This window comes from Homo sapiens, chromosome 14 (assembly GCF_000001405.40).
Source record: "Homo sapiens chromosome 14, GRCh38.p14 Primary Assembly".
Lineage (NCBI taxonomy): Eukaryota > Metazoa > Chordata > Mammalia > Primates > Hominidae > Homo > Homo sapiens.
This window is the reverse complement of record NC_000014.9, coordinates 58,439,241-58,463,025: the sequence shown is the minus strand read 5'-3', so window position 1 is coordinate 58,463,025 and position 23,785 is coordinate 58,439,241. Positions and strand designations below refer to the sequence as shown.

The following is a 23,785-nucleotide window of genomic DNA, read 5'->3' as shown; positions in this document are numbered from 1 at the left end:
GTGTCCCTACCCAAATCTCATCTCAAATTGATCCCCATGCGTCACGGGAGAGACCTGGTGGGAGATGACTGGATCATGGGGGCAGTTTCCCCTAATTTGTTCTTGTGATAGTGAATGAGTTCTCATGAGATCTGATGCTTTAAAAGGGCATGGCTTTCTTTGCTCCCTCTCTCCTGCTGCCATATAAGACATGCCTTGCTTCCCTTCGCCATGACTCTAAGTTTTCTGAGGCCTCCCCAGAGATGTGGAGCTGTGAGTCAATTACACCTTCTTGTCTTTATAGATTACTCAGTCTCAGGTAGTTTTTTATAGCAGTGTGAAAATGAACTAATACAGGCTCTTAATCACTTCTGATCATTAAAAGCGTTATTGAATAAAGTTATTTTTGGATTTGAAAGCATTTTAAAGCCTCAAATTATTTTTTGCAAAGACTTTCAAAACCCCCCATATAAATTAATAGCAAAGCTACACTAGGCCGGGCACAGTGGCTCACGCCTGTAATCCCAGCTCTCTGGGAGGCTGAGGCGGGTGGATCACCTGAGGTCAGGAGTTCAAGACGAGCCTGGCCAATGTGGCAAAACCCTGTCTCTACTAAAAATACAAAAAAAAAATTAGCTGGGCATTGTGGCGCATGCCTGTAATCCCAGCTACTCGGGAGGCTGAGGCAGGAGAATCGTTTGAACCCGGGAGGTGGAGGTTGCAGTGAGCCAAGACTGTGCCACTGCACTCCAGCCTGGATGACAGAGCAAGACTCCGTCTCAAAAAAAAAAAAAAAAAAAGCAAAACTACACTAAATAAGAGAAAACTTCAGGGTAAATACCATCCATTAGGATAAATATCACCCATAAGCTATATGCTTTCTATTTTAAATTAGTAAAATTTCTATATAACCTGACACTGTATATGATTGCATAACCTTTAGAAAGCAAAGGGAACCAAAGTAACCACCATAGCTCCAACTTCTAGAAAGGATAAGAGAGGAAAATGGGTTTGTATCTACTAGTTATCACATATTGTCAGCTGTAGCTTACTGATTGCTAAGCAGAAGCTGAGAAACTATAATACATAACCAAAGTCAACAGACTCAGTATATAACCAAAAGTTGTATTTAAATACACAGTACCAGTGAAACAGTAGATGTGACTCAAAATACACAGTGATACATGAAGATGTTTTCAGTTGTGCACAAAAGCAACAAAAAAGTTTTCACCTTTCTACCTAAGTCTCTTTGAAAACCAAACTGCAAAAGTGCTCATCAACACTTTTATAATAAACAGCAAATGGCTGATCTTTCTGTTCATAATGCACCTAGGTCTTCAGGAAAATGTCTACTTTCCTAGATTATAATTTAGATGCTCAAGATTCATCATCACCCACTGTGGGCAATGTGGTGAAACCCTGTCTCTATAAAACATACAAAAAAATTAGCCAGGCGTGGTAGTGTGCACCTGTCATCCCAGCTACTTGGGAGGCTGAGAGGGGAGGATCACTTGAGCCCAGTAGGTCGAGGCTGCAGTGAACCATGATTGTGCCACTGCATTCCAGCCTGGGGGATAGGGTGAGACCTTGTCTAAAAAAAAAATTAAAAAAAAAATCATTTTCTCCTAAATAAAAATTTTATGATGCTTTATCTGAAGATGCCATTTAATCCTACATTTCTTCCCAATTATTCCTATCTTGTGTCTTTTTTAAAATGTTGGTCTATTTCTTCCTACCTCTCCTAAGAGGAATTATTTTTCCATCCCCAAGCATCATATAACTTGAATGGCACGTATAAGCAATAAATAAAAAGCAAAAAGAAACTTTACATATTAAACTGATACTATTAAGAAATGAGATTAAACATTAAAAATGAGATTCCTTACCTTTAACTCGTTCTATTACTTTTGGTCTCTGTGGTCTGGACTTAGGAGATGGAGAATTAAATCTGAGATATGGTCCTTTTTTAAGAGTGCTTCGATGGCCCTGATAAACTGGCTTTCCATAGACTTGTAACATATAATCTTCATCTTGTATTACTGTGGTTGCTTTCAAAAGCCCCTGTGTGTACAAAGTTATTCAACTCACCATGAAAACAGTCATCAAACACTTATCTCATTTTTCTAAAGCCTCCTTTTGCTAGCTTAAGTATTATAACAAGAATGATTAAGTAAAAAATAACCTCTGTTTTCAACAGCCCTTAAATTCTAGATAACAGGTTTCAAGCATTAGTTTGAAAAGCTTTAAATATAAAAATCATCCACCTAAGAAACATGAAAATTTTTACATTACTAAGTATATTTTCAGCACCAACAAGAAACATTTAAACACATTTTACATATTTATTATACTCCAGTACAATAAAAATACAACAACCTTAACCTTTAAATAATTTTATATATTTCTGAACCCACCTTCAACCATAATCTAAATGTCACAGAAAGGGAGCATTTACTGAGAATCTACTAAGTATAAGCATTGAATTAGATGCTTTACTGATCTGCTCAACAATCCATGTTTGGCACTTAGAAACTTATAGCCTAGTTACAGCAGTCAAAAAAATTTCCTCCATACCATCTAGTACCACGCCTTGCATATACTAGGCACTAAACATGCATTTGTTAAACTGAAAAATAAACTATATACACACACGCAAATGAAAATTTTGAGTACCATAAACTAGAGAATCTAGTTTTTGGACTAGATGATCTCTAGATATACCTTTATACCTGCTATAACTACAAAATCATGATGCCAGGGTGTGAGATCTCATAAGAAAGGAACTATCTATTTTGTTCAGTGCTTTTCACATTATAAATCCAAAACCCTAAGTATCAATAGTGTAAAGATAGCTTACATTTGTATAGTCCTTCATATTTTTAAAACACCTTCACATTCGCTTCATTATTTATCTCTTAAAGGAAATGATCAATTATAACACAACAATTATGTTAAAAGAACAGATTAGGATCTTACTTCCTTTCTCTCTTTCTGTAAACTTGAAGCAGGCATGCCCCTCATAGGTAGATTTCTAAAATGCTCTTCTATTTGCTTTTGAGAATGTTTTCTTGGAATTACAGATTTGTTGACAGTTTTATCTTGTGTGTTGGTTCTAATATCTTTAGTCATATTCTGACCTTTCTTGGTTCTCTGATTCTTCTGATCAAATCTTTTTTGTTCATAATCTGTTCTTGACAGTTCATCCTTAACATAACCAAAGTTAAAATTACTTAAAATGTCTACAAATAGTAATGCTTTCACATCAGAAAGTATTAGAATTTATTTTTTGCTGCTATATAAATACAGTTTAGCAGTTTTAAATGCATTAAAAATAAAGGATATTGGCTTTATTGGATATATAAAAATCAAAAATCTCTGGAAAAATAAACAAAACCCTAAAAAGACTAGTATCTTTTGGAGTGGGGAATGGGAAATAATAGAAGGGTTGCAGGGGTAGCAGGACAACTTTGCATGACAAACCTTCTTATACTTTTTGATGTTTGAACCATATGAATTTTGCTAACAGTTTAAAAAATTAAAAATACATTTCAAAAAAAGCAAACACTTTTGTAACAAAACTGAGATAAATATAAATTAAAATTATGTGAAAGTTTAAACAAATATACTTTACATGGGATTCATTGCAAAAGAGTAAGATACATTGCCAGTTAGCTGTAGAGCGAAAACTAGACTCCAAATCTTCTGACTCTTAGTTCAATTTTTTTTTGTGTGTGTACCATATAGTACCTAAAATAAATTTTTCATAACTTCATTAGAAATATATATTCTTCAACAACAAAGTTTTAAAATATATTTCTGTGTTTATTGCTATGGAAACAGTACTGATGCTTCACCTTGCTACCCTTGTAAGTAGCATATAAGCACATCTACAGTCAAAAAAACACACCTTGCACCCCAGGACAAAATAACACCTTAGCCTGCCTAGTTCCGCTCACTCAAATATATAAAATTTTTAAATTTCCTTTAAATTATGGACCCTCTAAGAAAGATAACTCCCAGACTTTTCCAATGCTGGATGTTTGAAGATGTACCATGCCCATTGTGGTTGTGAGAAAGAGGCTGTTTTTCCATCTGGAACTGACTTCCGTAAACTTAGTAAATCTCGTTGGTTTTTTTCTCTTTGCATTACTCTGGTATTTTTACTTTGGCGGGTCAATGCTCCTAAATCCACTGTCTTCAAATATCTTTGCAAGTATAATTCTTTTTCCAAACACTTTTGCTAAATTTTCTTTCAGATTATTCATGTTTTAGTTTTTGTCCAACAATTTGCCAAATAAGAGCCAGAATATAAGTGGAGATAATATACTTGTTAAACAAAGCTAAACTTATTACTAAGTAAATATAAAGAGTGACAATTAAATTAAAAATAAGTGGATTTTTATATAAGAAATATTTTGAAAACAAATGTAATGCCTGTAAATTGGAATCAATATTATCTTCTGAGAATTCACTTAATTTTCAGTTTTTTTCCAAGACATACCTGAATTTCTGCAGAAATAGTTTTAATCCATTCATCCACTGTCTTTCTGATCCTAATTTTCTCTGACATCTCTCTATAAAAGAGAAAAAGGAATTTTCTTAAATTAGCACTTACTGTCCTGAGCAGGACTTGGATCAGATCTAACTCTTATCTAGTTGTGAACCTGCTATCCTAATATCTTTCATCTGAAAAGGAAAGGATATTAGGATAGTAGAATGGGGGCCTAATATCCTTCATCTGAAAAGGAAAAACCTTTGCTATTTGTTTTCATGGTATTAGTTTTCATCAAATATTTGAAGGATAAATGTTTGAAAAGCACATGTGGATCCAAGAAGATATGTACCAAAGAAAGAAAAAATTAAAAGAAAAATTTCCACCAGAAAAAAGTAGTACCACCATATATATATATCCAAATTCCAACTTTATAAGTTCCACATCTTCAAAGTCAATAAAGAACCTTTTAAAAATATGAAAACTAATAGGAAAATACAGTGCTTAGAAAAAAATTATGAAGAAAGTGGAACTGACAGACTCATAAATAACCCTGGATGCCAACATCCTCTTACCTGTTGGTAGATAAAGCATTGATAAGCGAATACATGGCAGCTCCATCTTTTGCACGAATAATAGCTTCCAGGTTTTCTTCAAGTACTTTTTTATTGTTTTGTACTCCTCTCAAAATCTTCTCAGCATCTTTCAATACAGATCTTGTTGTATTGGTTGTTTGAAGCTTAACAGAATTCTGTGGAAGATCTGGAAGCTTCAACATACTCAGAGATTCTTTTGGCTTAAAAGAAAAAAAGACCAGAAAGTTACTAAACTCACAACGATTCCTTTAATCAAAATAACAGCTATCACTATTGTTGAGGCCATACATTATACCAATATATTCTAAGGACTCAATTTGTCAAACTGAAGACTTACAAAAGAATACTTGGCAATCAAAGTGTTTTTCCTCCATTTAGAAATACTAATGTGGGCCAGGCATGGTGGCTCACGCCTGTAATCCCAACACTTTGGGAGGCCGAGGCAGGTGGATCACCTGAGGTCAGGAGTTCAAGACCAGCCTGGCCAACATGGTGAAACCCTGTCTCTACTAAAAATACAAAAATTAGCCAGGTGTGGTGGCACACCCTTGTAATCCCAGCTGCTCAGGAGGCTGAGGTAGAAGAATTGCTTGAACCGGGAGGTGGAGGTTGCAGTAAGCCGAGATTGCACCCTTGCACTCCAGCCTGGGTGACAGAGCAAGACTCTGACTCAAAAAAAGAAAAGAAAAAAAACTAATGTGAGTGTTAAATAAAATAGAGGTGAGAAATCCATAGCAGTGCTAAGCAGTCCAGCGACCAATAATAGCTCTCTCTCTCTGCTGAAGAAAGCAAAATAAAGTAAAATATAAGCAAGTTGGCTCTTTATGTATGGAAGAAATGGCAGACATTGTGGATTGGATAAATGAAGTCCATTCACTCACAGGTCTCTTTTCCCCTTCCTCCCTTTCCAACAGAAGCTGGGAAGCCAGAGGTGGCTATATGGCTCAGTCCTGGTCAAGGAGCGATAAGTAGAAATCACTTGGTGAAGGCCTCTGGAAATACTTTATAAATGGAACAGATGTGGCTGACATATCTTTTTCAGTGCTTTTTCTTCATCCTTCCTCCTAATTTCTATCTTTATAACTCTTTTATTCCTTTTTAATTTTTATCTTAACTAATCATCAATTTTAAGACCATTCCCACTTTACCTGGACCATGCTATTTGTTTCTTTCTCTTTTTGGCCAAGGTCATGAAGAACATCATCAGACTTCTGCATAGTCACTTTAGTTGTTTCTAGCTCTTCACAGGAAGGAAATCTTTGAGAAGGTAGAGTTTCAACGCTACAGAAGATTTTTGAAAAAGTTTCCTAAATTGTTGTAAATTCAGTAAACATTTCATTACACAAATCTTTGATACAGTCTTAGCTATATTACTAAATGGTATCCTATTAAAATTGAACTATGGAATTAATCAGTTATGTGATTAAACAAATGAAACACAGAAAATCACAAGAGACAAAATTATCTAACCAGAAAAGTTTAGATGTAGCAGAAAAGGAGCAGGAAAAGGTTATGCTTTCAAGAAGCTAACATCCAGAAGCACTTCCAGATTGGTGGAGTAAGAAATTCTGAAAATCTGCTTCTCCATAAGCACAATGAGAACCCTAGCAAAAATCATCAAAATCAAGTTTTTCTAACCTCTGGAAATTAAAGACTTGCAAGAACCCCAGGAGCATTTATTCAAGAAAAATGGCTGACTCTAGGTAAGAAGAGCAAGCTTTATGGAATTTTTTTAACTTGCCTCATTCTCGGGACCCTATTCCCAACTCTGTGGCGGCCTCGAAAACCAACAGCCTCACAACCACTAAAGACAGTAGAATGGTTTCAAGCTCTCCTAAAAGTCTCATTCATAGTGTTTGTCTTTATTTGAACTGACTCACTGCTAGCTCAGCGAGAAAGTATCCCCAGGGCATTTTTCAAAAAACGGTGGCAATTGTTTAACATCTCAGCAGCGTGAGGTAGTGACACTAGTTGGGGCAAACAAGATTGTGGTCAACAAATGTTAAAAATCTAGGCAATGAAATGTCCAAAGTGGAGTTTTGAAAAGCTCCAACATATTCCTAGGAATCTAGAAGGTCATGCCTTCTAGTCCACATACAGGGCTATGTACATGCCCAAGAGAGACCTGGGAAGGTCCTAATCACTCACTTCCGACCTTGAGGCTCTGTGCAAGTAGGAAGTGAAAGGCTAAAACAGACTCATAATCTGCCAGGCACTGGAGGCATGCTCTAGCACATGCATGTGCATGCACTCGCACACACACATACACACACACACACACACACACGTAATCCATGGCAAAGAGAGGGAGACTTATCAGTTCAAGGCAGTTAAGGAAATCTCTTTCCAATCACTGGCAGACTAAGCTAACAAAACAGAGACTTCAGTGGGAGCACATGACAAAGAATACAGACTTCACAGAATTAGTCCAGGAAAGTCACTAAACAAACAGCAACAACAACAATAACTAGCAACAATAAACTCTGGGAGGTGAAAGAATCTAATTTCCAGAGTTGCCACACTGTATTATTTAAAATGCCCAGTTTTCAACAAAAATTTATGAGACATACAAAGAAACTGGAAAGTAGAGCCCAAACACAGAAAAAAGCACAGTCAAAAGAAACTGCTGTTGAGGAATCCCAGATATTAGACTTACTAGGCAAAGACTATAAATCAGCTATTACTAAAAGAAACCAGTTTTAAAATTAAAGGAAAGTATAAGAATGAAGTCTTGCCAAATATAGAATGATCAATAGAGATAGAAAACATTTTTTTAAAAGACAAACAGAAATTCTGCAGTTGAAAAATATAACAACTGAAATGTATAATTCACTAGAGGGGCTCAGCATCATATTTGAGTTGGCAGAAGAATCAACAAACTTTAAGACAGGCTAATTGAGATTATGAGGAAAGGAATATGAGGATAATTGGGGAAAGAAAAATGGATGAAGAAAAATTAAGTCTTAGAGACCTGTGGGACACCATCAAGCACACCAACATACAACTCCTCATCAGAAACCACAGAGTCCAAAAGGCAGTCAGGTGACATATTCAAAATGCTGAAAGAAAAAGAACATCTACCAAAAATTCTGTATGTAGCAAAATTATTGTTCAAAAGTGAAGGAGGGGACACCAGGGGTGTGTGTGCAGAGAGGGATGACCATGTGAAGAGACAGCAAGAGGGAGGCCACCTGCAAGTCAAGAAGAAAGGCCTCAAAAGAAACCAACCCGGCCAGCACCTTGATCTTGAACTTCCAGCTTCCACAACTATGAGAAACCAAATGTCTGTTTAAATGACAACGAAAAAGTGAGAAAGAAATTAAGACAGTACCAGATAAACAAAAACTGAGAAAATTCACTGCTAACAGACCTACCCTATAAGAAATACTATCAGGAGTCCTTCAGGGTGGAATAAAAGGACACTGGGCTAACTTGAATCCATATGAAGAAATAGAGTACTGTTAAAGATGAACTATATAGTTGAATATAAAAGCCAGTATATGTATTTTTGTTCATATCTCTTTTCTTTTCCTATCTGATTTAAAAGAGCTGCATCAAGTAATAATTATCAGACTACATAGATGAGCTTATAATGTATAAAGATGTAATTTGTATGATAATAATAGAAGAAAAGGGGAGGGAACAAGGCTTTACTGGAGCAAAGTTTCTGAATAATATTGAAATTAAATCACTATTAATCCAAATTAGATTGCTTTAAATTAATATGTTAATTGTAATTCCTGGAGTGACCACGAAGAAAATAACTCAAAAAATAATAGTAGAGAAAATGACAAAAGAATTAAAATGGTGCAACCAGAAAATGTCTAATACAAAAGAAGGCACTAAGGGAGGAACAGTGAACTAAGACCTAAGGCATATAGAAAGCAACATGGTAGACACAAATCCTACCTTATCAGTAATTACATTACATGTAAATAGACTATACAATATCTCCACATAAAATTACTCAACATATGGCTCCTCTAGTTCTTATTACTGTAGTTTTTAAGATGTTGAAGATAAATATAATTATCATGGCCCAGATTTGATTTTTTTAAAACTTTTTATTATGTAAAATTTCAAATATACACAAAAATAGAGAAAATACTAAAATGAACCCCATACACCCAATATTTAACTACAACAATCATTAACTTTTGGCTAGCCTCATTTTATCTATACTCCCAACTTACTTGCCCCTAACCTATCTTGGATTATTTTTGAAACAAATCCTAGATATCATTTAATCAGAAATGAATAATCCATACGTTAGAAATTAATAACCTGCATTTTGAAAAAATGAGATATTCATTTCATAGCTATATTATAGAAAGGGGGAAGATATATTAGCATCAAAAAATAGTAACTAAATCTAAGATAAATTTAAGAAGCAATGCTATAATTTATTAAAAGTCCCAAAGAAATTTGAAAAATCTTAACAAAACTCTTTTCAATCTAGTTTTCATTCCAATCTCTTGTTTTTACCTGTTTGTTTTCTCAGGAGTCCATCCTATTTTTGACCTAGTTAGTGAGGTGGTGTTTGATGATTCACTTTTTCTTGTCAAAGAATCATTATTATTCAAAATTTGTTCCAATAGTCTTACATTTCCTGAAATAGAAGAGATATAGTATCATTTTCCAAATACTAATTCATTTCTCTTGTATATAATATCTCACATATTTGTATTCTGGCCTAAGTTAGCTTCTTATGATGATTATCTACTCAATTTATAGCCTAAAAGCCAGGCGCAGTGGCTCATGCCTGTAATCCCAGCACATTGGGAGGCTGAGGTGGGTGGATCATCTGAGGTCGGAAGTTCGAGACCAGCCTGACCAACATGGAGAAACCCCGTCTCTACTAAAAATAGAAAAAATTAGCTGGGTATGGTGGTGCGTGCCTGTAATCTCAGCTGCTTGGGAGGCTGAGGCAGGAGAATTGCTTGAACCTGGGACACGGAGGTTGCAACAAGCCAAAATCACACCATCGCACTCCAGCCTGGGCGACAAGAGTGAAACTCCATCTCAAAAAAAAAAAAAATTTATAGCCTACAAAGTAGCCTACAATTTAGGCCATAAATACACTCATCAAATAAAACTAAATATTTACACCTCATAAAAACTATACCACAACCAGGCGCAATGGCTCATGCCTGCAATCCCAGCACTCTGGGAGGCCAAGGCAGCAGGACTGTTTGAGGCCAGGAGTTTGAGACCAGCCTGGGCAACAAAGCAAGACCCTGTCTCTACAAAAAAATACATAAACAAGTAAGTAAAAGGTTGAATTCATAGAAAAACCCCTACATTTATTTCCATCACAGAAAAAAGGAATTTGATAAGTGTCATCATCACGAAGTCCAGTAAAATAGACGACTTTTATAAATTAGTAAAGAAGAGATTTATCTATTTCTTCAAAGTACCAATAAGTGGATCTATCCTTTAGCCTTGTTTGTATGTAGTAAGACTACATAATAATTTTTGGTGTGAGGTTGCCTTCTTTATTAAAGATTTTATTATCTTGTGACTTTCTTAAAATTCTTTAAATGTGTCTAAGATAAGACCTGCATGCATTTAAATGATTCCAAGAATTAAAGTGTTTAGTTTAATATTTCACTTACTTTTGTTAGAAGGGGTACATTTTAAGACTCTGTAATATACTATTTTTCTTTTAATTTTTTTTATTTCCATAGATTTTTGGGGAACAGGTGGTATTTGGTTACATGAATAAGTTCTTTATTGGTGATTTGTGCGATTTTGGTGCACCCATCATCCAAGCAGTATACACTGAACCCAATTTGTAGTCTTTTATCCCTCACCCGCTTCCCACCCTTTCCCCACAAGTCCCCAAAGTCCATTGTGTCATTCTTATGGCTTTGCATTATCATAGCTTAGCTCCCATTTATGAGTGAGAACATATGATGTTTGGTTAATACATGTCCCTTATAAAAGTTCTTGCTCTGTGTTAAAAAGTTCATATATGGCCGGGCGCAGTAGCTCACGCCTGTAATCACAGCACTTTGAGAGCCCAAGGTGGGTGGATCACGAGGTCAGGAGATCGAGACCATCCTGGCTAACATGGTGAAACCCCGTCTCTACTAAAAATACAAAAAATTAGCCAGGCGTGGTGGCGGGCGCCTGTAGTCCCAGCTACTCGGGAGGCTGACGCAGGAGAATCGCTTGAACCTAGGAGGCGGAGGTTGCAGTGAGCTGAGATGGTGCCACTGCACTCCAGCCCGGGTGACAGAGCGAGACTTCATCTCAAAAAAAGTTCATATATTAGCACTTTTTCCAAGTGAACATGGTGATGAATGTTAAGTTTCTCTACGTTTTATTATTGAAATTCACACCTAAAAACAATATGAGGAAGCATGCTCTAAAAATGATCAGCCTTACCTTCAGCAAAGCATTGTTTTTTATTTATTAATAACAAAACTTGCCCAGGCACAGTGGCTCACATCTGTAATCCCAGCACTTTGGGAGGCTGAGGCGGGCAGATCGCTTGAGCCCAGGAGTTTGTGACCAGCCTGGGAAACATAGTGAAACCCCATCTCTATGAAAAATACAAAAATTAGCCTGGTGTGGTGGCGTGCACCTGTAGTCCCAGCTACTCAGGAGGCTGAAGTGGGAAGATCAACTGAGCCTGAGGAGGTAAAGGCTGCAGTGAGCCATGATCACGCCATTGTACTCCAGTCTGGGTGACAGAGTGAGACCTTGTCTCATAAAAAATAAATAAAAATTAACAAAACTTATCGAGACCATCCTGGCTAACACGGTGAAACCCCGCCTTTACTAAAAATACAAAAAATTTAACCAGGTATGGTGGTGGGCGCCCATAGTCCCAGCTAATCCGGAGGCTGAGGCAGGAGAATGGGGTGAACCCGGGAGGCGGAGCTTGCAGTGAGCCGAGATCGCACCACTGCACTCCAGCCTGGGCAACAGAGCGAGACTCCGTCTCAGAAAAAAAAAAAAAAAAAAAAAGTTAACAAAACTTGTTCATTAAAGGTTTAAGTAATAATAACCTGTAAAAGATAAAATAATTATAAATGTATACCTCCAAACCCTTTTACAAAGAATCTAAAGAAGCTTGATTTTCCCAGCAAGGGTCATTTAAAGTAAAATATTACAAATAGAGATCCCACTTCAGTTACTACTAGGCACAGAAAATCTCATGACAATTTCCTAATTTGGGATAGGTCTAGTAAAAGTCTCTATTACCTCTGTGACACGACACTTCCATATTTTCTTTTTCTTCCAAAAGATTTTCCCTCTTTGATAGTTCATCATCCCTTGAAACAGGTACAGGAGCAAATCTGCGAGGTGCTGGTGTCTCCAAAGGAGATTTCTGTTTATCAAAACTCGTATCTTCAACTTCTTTTAAAGGTGCTTTAACAGAAAATTTTTTAAAAACTTAACTTGCTTTTAAAAAGCTTTAAAAATTATAGCATATTACTCTTGCCTATACTTTAAAAATAAATTCAAAATTATAAATGATGAACAAATTATTAAGTGTAGAGAAATAACTTCACCCCATTAAAAATCAAAAGAAATGAAGACTACAAACATTGTACACTTACATCTAGTAAATACGAATCTATATGATAATATTCAGAACTACTGAAGCTGCGGTGAAACTGGCAGGCCCAGATACTTTTCATGGCAGTGAAAACTGATAAACCATCTGGCAATAAGTATAGGAAGAATTAAAGTTTTATATACTTTAACCTAGTAATCTTACTCTTATGAAATTATTCTAAGGAAATAACATAAAAGAAAGAAAATGTGCTTTAAATATGATGTTTATTACAGTATTATTTATGAAGATGAAAACCTAAAAACTGCCTGAGTATCCGAAACAGGATAATGGTCAAGTAGATTGTAAAATAGTTATTCAATAGGCCACCCTTTAGTCATTACAAGTTAAAATTATGAAGACAACTATATAAAATATGGCAAATCTTTTTATGTGCTAGTAAAAAAGTTGTATAAAATGCTACAATTACAAATATGTAAACATGATATTTGCCCAAGAAAAAGCATAGAAAAATTAAAAGTTTAATTTACTGAATTTTTACTCTTTATTTTCTTTTATTTGTTACTGTAATTTATATATACAAAGAAAAATTCAATTTACAATCAACAAAATAGACACCTTTTTCATGAAAACTCAAGTTTAAGAAAAACAAAATTATCAGCAAGAAATTCTCTGGAATTGAGTTATGAAAAAAGTGTCCACTGCTATAGAAGGCACTCAGCTGGGTCATACTGAAAGCTGAGTTCTGGCCCTAGCTCTGACATCCTCCCTCCCAAGTCAGGTAACCTTGAGCAGGCAAGTCACACCATTCTGTGCTTCACTGTCCTCTCTTCATAACTTAAAAATGGACTCATATTACTTCACAACAGTTCTTTGTTGTTGTTGTTTGTTTTTTTGTTTTTGAAACAGGGTCTTGCTCTGTCACCCAGGCTGGAGTACAGCTGCATGATCACAGCTCACTGAAGCTTCTACCTCCTGGGCTCAGGCAATCCTCCGACCTCAGCCTCCAAAGTAACTGGGACTATAGGCATGTGCCACCACACCTGGATAATTTTTTATTTTTATTTCTAGAGACAGGATCTCACTATATGTCCCAGGTTGGTCTCGAATTCCTGGACTCAAGTGATCCTCTCACCTTGGCCTCTCAAAGTGCTGGGCACAACAGTTTTGTAAGGACCACTCATTTGTTGCAAAATGTAAAGCACCTTAAAAGCATGAGCAATCTTTAATGACTGTAAAACAACACTGTTCTAACAAATCAAGTGCTGAAAATATTGTACTATATAGATCTGTATATCATTAAAGGGATAGTAGCTCGATTTTCTTTAGTTCATTATTCAAATATCAATAACTTAGAAAAACATTTATTCATTTATTTTAAATACTAAAGTTTTAACAAGTAAGCCATGTATTCCTTTGTTATTATAGAGTTTTAAAATTCAATCAAGATAAGCAGACTTGCATTACTAATTCTGAAAATATTTAGAAATGGTTTAAAAATGTACTCAGGTAGTTGCTCTGACAGAATCAAGAAAGAGCAAATATGCAGTTTGTCAGAGAACAGGAGAACTGATTTATTTACAAGCATTTTTGTAGTAAATAAGTAAATTTTTTCTAAATTTATAAGTGCTTCTGATAATTTATGAGATTAATTAAAATCAGTTAAGAACATAATCCATAATTTAAAAAATTTCAAAATAAACTAAAAATTACTTGACGCAAAAAAAGAACTCATTTTATCTAAGACAAGGTAGCCTGAGAAACACAATTTTAAAAAAAGAACATTTAAAAAAATTGTTTTATAAAACAAAAACTCCTATAAATAAATTTTATAAAACAAAAACTCCTACTGCTCAGGAAATATGTTTTCAGCTTATGTAGCACAAAGAAAATTCACAGCTGACATTTTTTATTCATAGAGAACTACATATTTTTACCTTGTTTGGAAGCAAATGTGTTATATAAAGATGGATTACAGCTACCAAGATTAGGGTGTTCTGGTTTTACGGAATACTTTTCCACTGCTCTGGAGGAGGGCATACTAACAGGCTGAAAACTACTAGTCTTGAGTGCAGCACTAATAAAATGAGTCTAGAAGAAATAAGATTATTTTATTATTTTCAAATATCATTTGAAAGAGTTAGATGATAAAATACATTGAAATATTAGAGGAGTTAAACATAATTTACTGCATTTAATAAACAATGAAAAATATGTATTACATTGCAAGTATCCACTGTAGTAGCAGCAGTGATGCCATTGGAAAGATGTAGAAGCACAAAGATCTGACTAAGCCTGACTCTGCTGTGTGACCTTAATCATTTTCCTTAACCATTCTAAACCTCAGTGCTGTCCTTTCTACCACAGACATGGCTCAGGGGCCATTGCAGCCGGCTAAGAGAAGACCAGGAAGGAGAGGCCCTCACCCTAAACCTCTACTTGAATCAGAGAATTTTAAACCAAAACATCCCATCTTTTATATCCTAAATGGTAGGATTTTGTTTGAGGTCAAGGTTTGAAAATCATTGATAGTGAGTACTCAAATAAACATCCATGCTTAGCAGCAGCAATAATATATGCATTTGTATATAAATGGAAACTAGAGTGACAACATAGTTTTCAGCACTATTTATTAAAATACCTGAAATGGGGCCCGGTGCAGTGGCTCAAGCCTGTAATCCCAGCACTTTGGGAGGCCAAGGCAAATGGATCACCTGAGGTCAGGAGTTCGAGGCCAGTCTGGCCAACATGGTGAAACCCCGTCTCTCCTAAAAATACAAAAATTAGCTGGGTGTGGTGGTGGGAGCCTGTAATCCCAGCTACTCAGGAGGCTGAGGCAGGAGAATCACTTGAACCCGGGACACGGAGGTGGCAGTGAGCCGAAATGGTGCCACTACACTCCAGCCTGGGTGACAGAGCAGGACTCTATCTCAAAAACAAAATAAAATAAAACAAAATAAAATAAAATAAAATAAAATAAAATAAAATATCTGAAATGAGCAAGTATCTTAACTAATAAAACTGGTTTCAAAAAAGAGGGTTTTATTGTTTTGTTTTAATTTTTGTGAGTACACAGTAGGTGTATATATTTATGGAGCACATGAAATACTTTGATACAGGCATGCAATGAGTAATAATCAAAATAGAGTTTTATGCCAGGCCAAGAAAAACCTAAAAAAATTTATAGTTTTACAGAATTTCTAAAAGTGTGTTGAGATCCCTCTACATAAAACAGATGAAACAGACTCAACTAATTTCATTTCATTAAGCATTTACTGAACAACTAATATATCCAGTATGTAAACAAAACTTCAACTCTCTCTGTAATTATAAGCTTTATAAGTAAGACATCTAAATTAGCAGATTTCATTCTTCCAAAATTAGAAAGTCATTAAGTTACAGATTTAGTTATGGAAGGATGGATGATGGCAGGTAAGTACTTAGGACTAAGTAGGAGCCACTCCTTAAGGAATCAATGTGCTTTTCAAATGTGTCATCTCATTTTATCCTGAACAACAGAAAATATTTTCTAGGTAAAGAAATTGAGGCTTAAAGAAGTAAAGTTATCTATAAACTAATAGTTTATAGACTCATTCCTGGTCTCTCACTAGATAATTTGCTGCGTGCTCAATTTTAGTCATGCAGGGAGTACTTACTAAACTTTACTTGGTATGCATATAATCATTCCAATAAAATATTATCTTCAACCACATGAAAAGCTCAAGATAAACCCTGTTAAGTCTTGAAAATTATAGCAAATTAATGTCTACTTTATGATGATATATTAAGTATAATAAACTTATTTTAGTACATTCTTCTGAATTTTTGTCTTAAAAAATATATAATTTAGAAAGTCATTAAGTTATAGATATATACATATATGTGTGTGTATATATATACACACACACATATATATACATTTGTTGTTGTTGTTAAGATAGAGTCTTGCTCTGTCACCCAGGCTGGAGTACAGTGGCCCAATCTCAACTCACTGCAACCTCTGCCTTCCGGATTCAAGTGATTCCCCTGCCTCAGCCTCCTGAGTAGCTGGGACTACAGGCATGTGCCACCATGCCCAGCTAATTTTTTGTATCTTTGGTAGAGATGAGGTTTCACCATGTTGGCCAGGCTGGTCTTGAACTCCTGACCTCAAGTGATCCACCCACCTCGGCCTCCCAAAGTGCTGGGATTATAGGGATGAGCCACTGTGCCCAGCCTGAATGTTATATTTTAATTTTTTTAAGTTTTTAAATGCACAGTAGGCCAGGCGCGGTTACTCACTTCTGTAATCCCAACACTTTGGGAGGCCAAGGCAGGCGGATCACCTGAGGTCAGGAGTTTGAGACCAACCTGGCCAACATGGTGAAACCCCATCTCTACTAAAAATATAAAAAGTTAGCTGGGCATGGTGGTGGGCGTCTGTAATCCCAGCTACTTGGGAGGCTGTGGCAGGAGAATCGCTTGAACATGGGAGGCGGAGGCTGCAGTGAACTGAGATTGCGCCACTGCACTCCAGTTTGGGCGATAAGAGCAAAACTCTGTCTCAAAAAAATAAATAAATTTCATATTAGAAAAAAAAGGAAATTAAAACCAACACATTTACAATGCTGATCATTCCCTCACTCACTCAAAAAAAAAAAAAAAAAAGAGTTTACTGAGTGCTAAGTCGTGTTCTAGGAGTTAGAAATTCCAAAATAGGCCGAGCACAGTGGCTCACGTCTGTAATTCCAGCACTTTGGGAGGCCATGATGGGTGGATCACTTGAGGCCAAGAGTTCGAGACTGGTCTGGCCAACATGGTAGAACCCTGTCTCTACTGAAAATACAAAAATTAGCTGGGCATGGTGGCGCAGGCTGGCAATCCCAGCTACTCGGGTAGCTGAAGCATGAAAATCACTTGAATCTGGGAGGTGGAGGTTGCAGTGAGCCGAAAACACACCACTGCACTCCAGCCTGGGCAACAGAGTTAGACTCCGTCTCAAAAAAAAAAAAAAGAAAAAGAAAGAAAAAGAAATTCCAAAATAAATAAGAAAGTATGCTACAGCTCCTTGTGAGGATAATGCTTTTTATAATAGCCCAGTGCCTTACTCTCAAAAGGCATTAAAAATGTTCATTATTTTAATTAATTAAATGCAAAAGCAAACATGTACACCAGGTAGTTCTTATCCAACGGTGTGCATCAGAATCATTATGAAGCTTTCAATGATTGCCAGGCACTACCTCAGAATCGCTGGCTCAAAATCACTGAAAGGCCTAAGCATGTGTGTTTGTGTATGTGTATATGTGTGTGTGTGTGTGTGTGTGTATGTATGTGTGTGTGTATATAGTTCTTTTTTTTTGAGATAGGGTCTCACTCTGTCATCTAGGATGAAGTGCAGTTGTATTATCATAGTTCACTGTAACTGCAAACTCCTGGACTCAAGGTCTCCGGCAGTCTCAGCCTCTCAAGTATCTGGGACTACAGGCACATGCCACCATGCCAGGCTAAATTTTTTTTTTTTTTTTTTTTTTTTTTTCCTAAGAGATGAGGTCTTGCTACATCAACCAGGCTTATCTTGAACTCTCGGCCTCAAGCAATCCTCTTAGCTTGGCCTGCCAAGCACAAATATTTTTATAAAGCTGTTCAAGTAATTCTAGTGCACATTCCCAGACTGAAAACTGCTGACGTAAACCAATAGTTGCAATATGATATAAGCACTTAAAAATATGGCTGGGCATGGCAGCTCACGCAGGTAACTCTAGCACTTTGGGAGGCCGAGGAAGGCAGATCACTTGAGGTCAGGAGTTAGAGACCAGCCTGACCAACATGGTGAAACCCCACCTCTACTAAAAATACAAAAATTAGCTGGGCGTGGTGGTGTGCGCCTGTAATCCCAACTATATGGGAGGCTGAGGCAGGAAAATCTCCTGAACCCAGGAGGTGGAGGTTGTAGTGACTGGAGATTCTACTACTGTACTTCAGCCTGGGCAACCATAGCAAACTCCATCTCAAAAAATAAATAATAAAAATGATATGAACAAAAATAGTGTAAAAGGAGGAAAAGCCAACTAGAGGGAGAGGTCTCACACAACTAGTGACATTTGAGATATAACATTCAGAGTTACCCGCATTACAGGAGAAGAAAGATAAGCAAATCATGATTTCAGAACTAAAACTGTTACAATCTAATGAGCTACTGTAATTATCAATGAATACTGGCTGAGAGATCCAAGTGATAAAAGATTATGGAATCTGTACTGGATTTATTACAGATACCTGAATATCTATTTGTTGTTGTTGTAACTTTTCAAGATGCCTTATGTGCTGCTCCATAAACACATTCATTTGCTTTTCGTGATCATGACAATGTAATTTCTCTTGTTTCCTCTGAATGCTTGTTTGCTGCTCTGTAACACGTTGCAGGTGTTTATCAGTCTCCTGTAATTTACTAAGTAATTCTGTAACAGAATTGACTTTTGCTTCCAAATCACTCTGCACCTAAAACAATAAAAACATTTTTAAAAATTCACATTATAGGATACCAAAAATATGTCTAATTACTAGAAATGTTATTTAAATCAATTGGCATTGATAAGTGATCTAATTTGAGCCTTTACCCACTAAATGTCTAATGATTTAATGCCTTTATTTTTAGAGTCACAGAAATGAAAGGCAGAAGATAGCTATCCTTAGGTAAATGTTTCCTCTCAAACAAAAGAAAAAAAAATTGGCCAGGCGCGGTGGCTCACACCTCTAATCCCAGCACTTTGGGAGGCCAAGGCAGGCAGATCACGAGGTCAGGAGATCGAGACCATCCTGACCAACACGGTGAAACCCCCATCTCTACTAAAATACAAAAAATTAGCCAGGCATGGTGGCGTGCGGCCTGTAGTCCCAGCTACTCGGGAGGCTGAGGCAGAGGAATCACGTGAACCCAGGAGGCGGAGGTTGCAGTGAGCTGAGATCGCACCACTGCACTTCAGCCTGGGCAACAGAGTGAGACTCCGTCTCAAACAAATCTGCCACAAATAATTTTATGATGCCTAAAACAAGACACTTAAATGGAAATTAAAAAGAAGAAAACAGCAAAGCAAAGTAGCTTTTGATATTTTACTAACATAAGGCTGAGTTAGGTCAGCAGCCTTGAGTTCTAGTTTTGGCTCTGTCACTTACTCGTTCTAGACTCATAGGCCTACTCTGACCTGTTTCTCTGCTTCCCTATTTACAAAGCGACAGCTAAGGCATAGATTATCTCTAAGGTTCCTCTAGCTCTCAAATAAGAATAACCGATTATCCAGGTTGCCAGGACCAAGGTGTTTCCCAGGATGTAGGACTCTCAGTGCTAAAACTGGGAAAGTTCTAAATTCACCAGTGCCATCACAGTATTAGAGGGTAATTTTCACATTTCCTGAGAAGTAACACACAACCACAAATGGGAAAATTCTTTCAAATTGAGAGCAACTACAATGTTCCTAGTCTATAACTGGACACAACCATTTATAGAATCAGTTCTTAGTAAGTACTTCTATATTTCACAAAGTAGTTATGATTATCTGGGAAGAAAAATATACCTTTATCAACGGAGCTGCGGTTGCAATGGCAGCAGCAGTTGCTGCAGCCACGGTTGTAGCTGAATCAATTCCACTGGGTGAAATTCTAGTCTCCTGAGTAACAGCATCCTTCTCTATGCCTGCATCTTCTAACAGATGTACCTTTACTTCCTTAAAAACAGGCATGCTTTGAGCTCTATAAATAAAAAAGCAATAAAAATGTATTCAGTAAACTACATTGAAACATTTCAAGAAATACTTAACAAATGGTAATCTGCCGAAGGTGGTTTTGATTTTTTTTAATTAAATCACCTATCAAACAAGGTCATTTGGTTAACAAAATTTATCAAGGTCCAGGTCACTAAGGGCTAAAGAAATAAGAAGATAATTCCTTGAAGGTAGCAATATTATTTTGGAAAATAAGAATTAAACATATGAAAAAGGCATAGCACAATTATAAAGACATTTTCAAGAAGTACAAATTTAAAACACTCACAAGGTGGCACGGTGGGATTATGCCTGTAATCCCAATTTGGGAGGCCAAGGCAGGTGGATCACCAGGTCAGGAGTTAGAGGCCAGCCTGGCTAACGTGGCGAAACCCCGTCTCTACTAAAAATACAAAAATTAGCCGGGCGTGGTGGCATGCGCCTGTAGTCCTAGCCACTCAGGAGGCTGAGGCAGGAGAATTACTAGAACCCAGGAGGCGAAGGTTGCAGTGAGCCAGGATTGCGCCACTGCACTCCAGCCTGGGTGACACAGTGAGACTCTGTCTCAAAACAAACAAACAAAACAAACAAACAAAAAAAACTACTCAGAAAAAGCTCCAAGAATTAAAGTACCAAGCTTTACTCCTAAAGGCAGACAACCCAAGAAACACTATTGTTTTCTTTTTTCTTTTATTATTTTTTTAAAGACTAGTCAAGTACAGTAGTGAGAAGGGGAGAAAAAGTGGAGTAAGTCTGGTCTGTGCCGGGTGTGGTGGCTCAGGCCTATAACGCTAGCACTTTGGGAGGCCAAGGCAGGTGGATCGCTGGAGCTCAGGAGTTTGAGACTAGCCTAGGCAACATGGTGAAACCCCATCTCTACTAAAATACAAAAAATTCGCTGGGCATGGTGGTGTATGCCTGTAATCCCAGCTACTCACGAGGCTGAGGCAGGAGAATCACTTGAATCTGGGCAGCGGAGGTTGCAGTGAGCCTAGATGGCACCACTGCACTCTAGCCTGGGTGACACAGCGAGACTCTGTCTCCAGAAAAATAAAATAAAACAAAAAGTTTGGTCTGTAACTGACTGTGAACAATCAATTGAGATAACTTATTACCTTCAGACAAGCTGCTGTGGTTTTTCCATTATTGATAATTTCATCCTCCAAATATTTATATAAGAATTATAACATTATCGGCCAGGTGCAGTGGCTAGCACATGTTATCCCAGCACTTTGGGAGGCCAAGGTGGGCAGACAGCTTAAGGCCAGGAGTTCGAGACCAGCCTGGGCAACATGGCAAAATCCTGACTCTACAAAAAATACAAAAATTAGCCAGGTGTGGTGGCACACACCTGTAGTCCCAGCTACTCGGGAGGCTGAGGTGGGAGGATCTCATGAGCCTGAGGAGGTAGAGACTGCAGTGAGTTGTGATCACCCCACTGTGATCACTCCAGCCTGTGAGACAAAGTGAGACACTGTCCCAGAAAAAAAAAAAAAAAAAAAAAGAATTGTAAGAATTACAGCACTATTGATGTACACTTTGTGACTATTTTTTATCCCACTTTACTGAGGTATAATTGAAAAAAAATTGTATATATTTACAGTGTGATATTTTGATATATGTATACATTGTAAAACGATTATAGTCAAGCTATTAGCATACCCATCACTTCACATAATTATCTTTTTATGTGATGAGAACATTTAAGATCTACTGTCTTAGCAATTTTCAAGTATACAATTCATTATTATTAACCATAGTTACATGCTGTACAATAGATCTCTAGAATGTATTAACCCTGTCTAAGAGAAATTATACCTTTTGACCTCTATCCCCCACTTTCTCCCCACCCCCAGCCCCTGGCAACCACCATTCTACTTTCTGCTTCTATAAGTCTGACTTTTTCAGATTCCACATGTAAATGAGAATACATGATATTCATCTTTCTGTGCCTGGCTTATTTCACTTAGCATAATGTCCCCAAGAGGGATTGATAACACCACTGAAAAGAATTTTCTGAATTCTAGGTCATTTAGATTTACTTAACAAATATCACTCAGGTAGGCCAGGCACAGTGGCTCACGCCTGTAATCCCAGCTCTTTGGGAGGCTAAGGCGGGTGGATCACCTGAGGTCAGGAGTTTGAGACCAGCCTGACCAACATGGTGAACCCTGTCTCTACTAAAAATACAAAAAATTAGCCAGGCGTGATGGCGGGAGCCTGTAATACCAGCTACTCAGGAGGCTGAGGCAGGAGAATCGCTTGAACCCAGGAGACGGAGGTTGCAGTGAGCAGAGATCACACCATTGCATTCCAGCCTGGGCGACAAGAGCGAAACTCAGTCTAAAGAAAGGACAGGACAGGACAGGAAAGAGGGAGGGAGGGAGGAAGAGAGAGAGAGAGAGAAAGAAGAAAAGAGAAAAGCAGAGCAGAGCAAAGCAAGACAGAAAGAAAGGAAGGTCACTCAGTTTATTAAAATGTTCACAAAATACATTATTAAGAAGCCTGAATTAGGTGGGTGTAGTGCTACATGCCTGTAATCCTAGCACTGTGGGAGGCTGAGGCAGGAAGACTGCTTGAGCCCAGGAGTTCAAGACCAGCTGGGCAACATGGCAAACCCTGTCTCTAGAAAAAAAAAAAAAAAATTAAAAATTAAAAAAAGACCCTGAAATGAAAACAAGTCCAGCAAATAGATACATACTTGCAATAAGGCATTTAATTAAATACTGAAAGAAAAAAGAAGGCTAGCCAATTTGCTCGGTATTTGGCCTCAAAGAAAACAATGAAAGGAACCACTGACAAAACTGAAGAGTCCCTAAGAGAGTCTAAGTAAAATTGGCAGGAATACATTCCATCTCCAGCTGCTGGACTTCCCCGTCGACTTTTAAGGGCATCACAGAACTCTTAAACTTACTCCTCTTTGATATTTCCCCATTTCTACTAAGAATAACATTTTTCTCTCAGTCTCAAAATGTTGAAGTCATCTTGACTTCTCTACTTGCTTACCGTCTCATACCCAATTGAATCATAAAGAGTTGTCAATTATTTCATCACAATTGCATGAAGAGTGTCATAGAATTATAGAGCTGAGAGAAACTTATAGGACATCCATCCTAATTTCCTAATTTTATAGATGAAGAAATTGCAGTCCACAGAGGTCACAGGATATCCTAATTTCCTAATTTTACAGATGAAGAAATGGCAGTCTGGCCAGGCGCGGTGGCTCACGCCTGTAATCCCAGCACTTTGGGAGGCTGAGGCGGGCGGATCACGAGGTCAGGAGATCGAGACCATCCTGGCTAACACGGTGAAACCCCATCTCTACTAAAAAATACAAAAAAGTAGCCGGGCGTGGTGGCAGGCGCCTGTAGTCACAGCTACTACGGAGGCTGAGGAAGGAGAATGGCGTGAACCCAGGAGTTGGAGCTTGCAGTGAACCGAGATCACGCCACTG

The 23,785-nt window shown here is 37.3% G+C and overlaps 1 protein-coding gene across 34 annotated transcripts in view; it reads right to left on the bottom strand.

Annotated features, from left to right (window-relative positions):
* Nucleotides 1-23,785, bottom strand: part of KIAA0586 — a 134,691-nt gene that overhangs the window by 99,065 nt on the left and 11,841 nt on the right. For 18 of the 34 annotated variants that reach the window (NM_001244190.2, NM_001244191.2, XM_047432009.1 and 15 more), the window contains 10 exons: nucleotides 20,146-20,320; nucleotides 18,851-19,072; nucleotides 14,533-14,686; nucleotides 12,280-12,447; nucleotides 9,553-9,676; nucleotides 6,216-6,324; nucleotides 5,047-5,267; nucleotides 4,481-4,553; nucleotides 2,956-3,183; nucleotides 1,866-2,040 (listed from right to left, as the gene is read on the bottom strand). In NM_001244190.2, the coding sequence (NP_001231119.1) occupies nucleotides 1,866-2,040; nucleotides 2,956-3,183; nucleotides 4,481-4,553; nucleotides 5,047-5,267; nucleotides 6,216-6,324; nucleotides 9,553-9,676; nucleotides 12,280-12,447; nucleotides 14,533-14,686; nucleotides 18,851-19,072; nucleotides 20,146-20,320 (1,649 nt within the window). Of the gene's footprint in view, nucleotides 1-1,865; nucleotides 2,041-2,955; nucleotides 3,184-4,480; nucleotides 4,554-5,046; nucleotides 5,268-6,215; nucleotides 6,349-9,552; nucleotides 9,677-12,279; nucleotides 12,448-14,532; nucleotides 14,687-18,850; nucleotides 19,073-20,145; nucleotides 20,321-21,682; nucleotides 21,806-23,032; nucleotides 23,557-23,785 lie in introns of those variants that run through there. The other 16 variants (NM_001244189.2, NM_001244192.2, XM_024449779.2 and 13 more) reach the window with 5 other exon arrangements.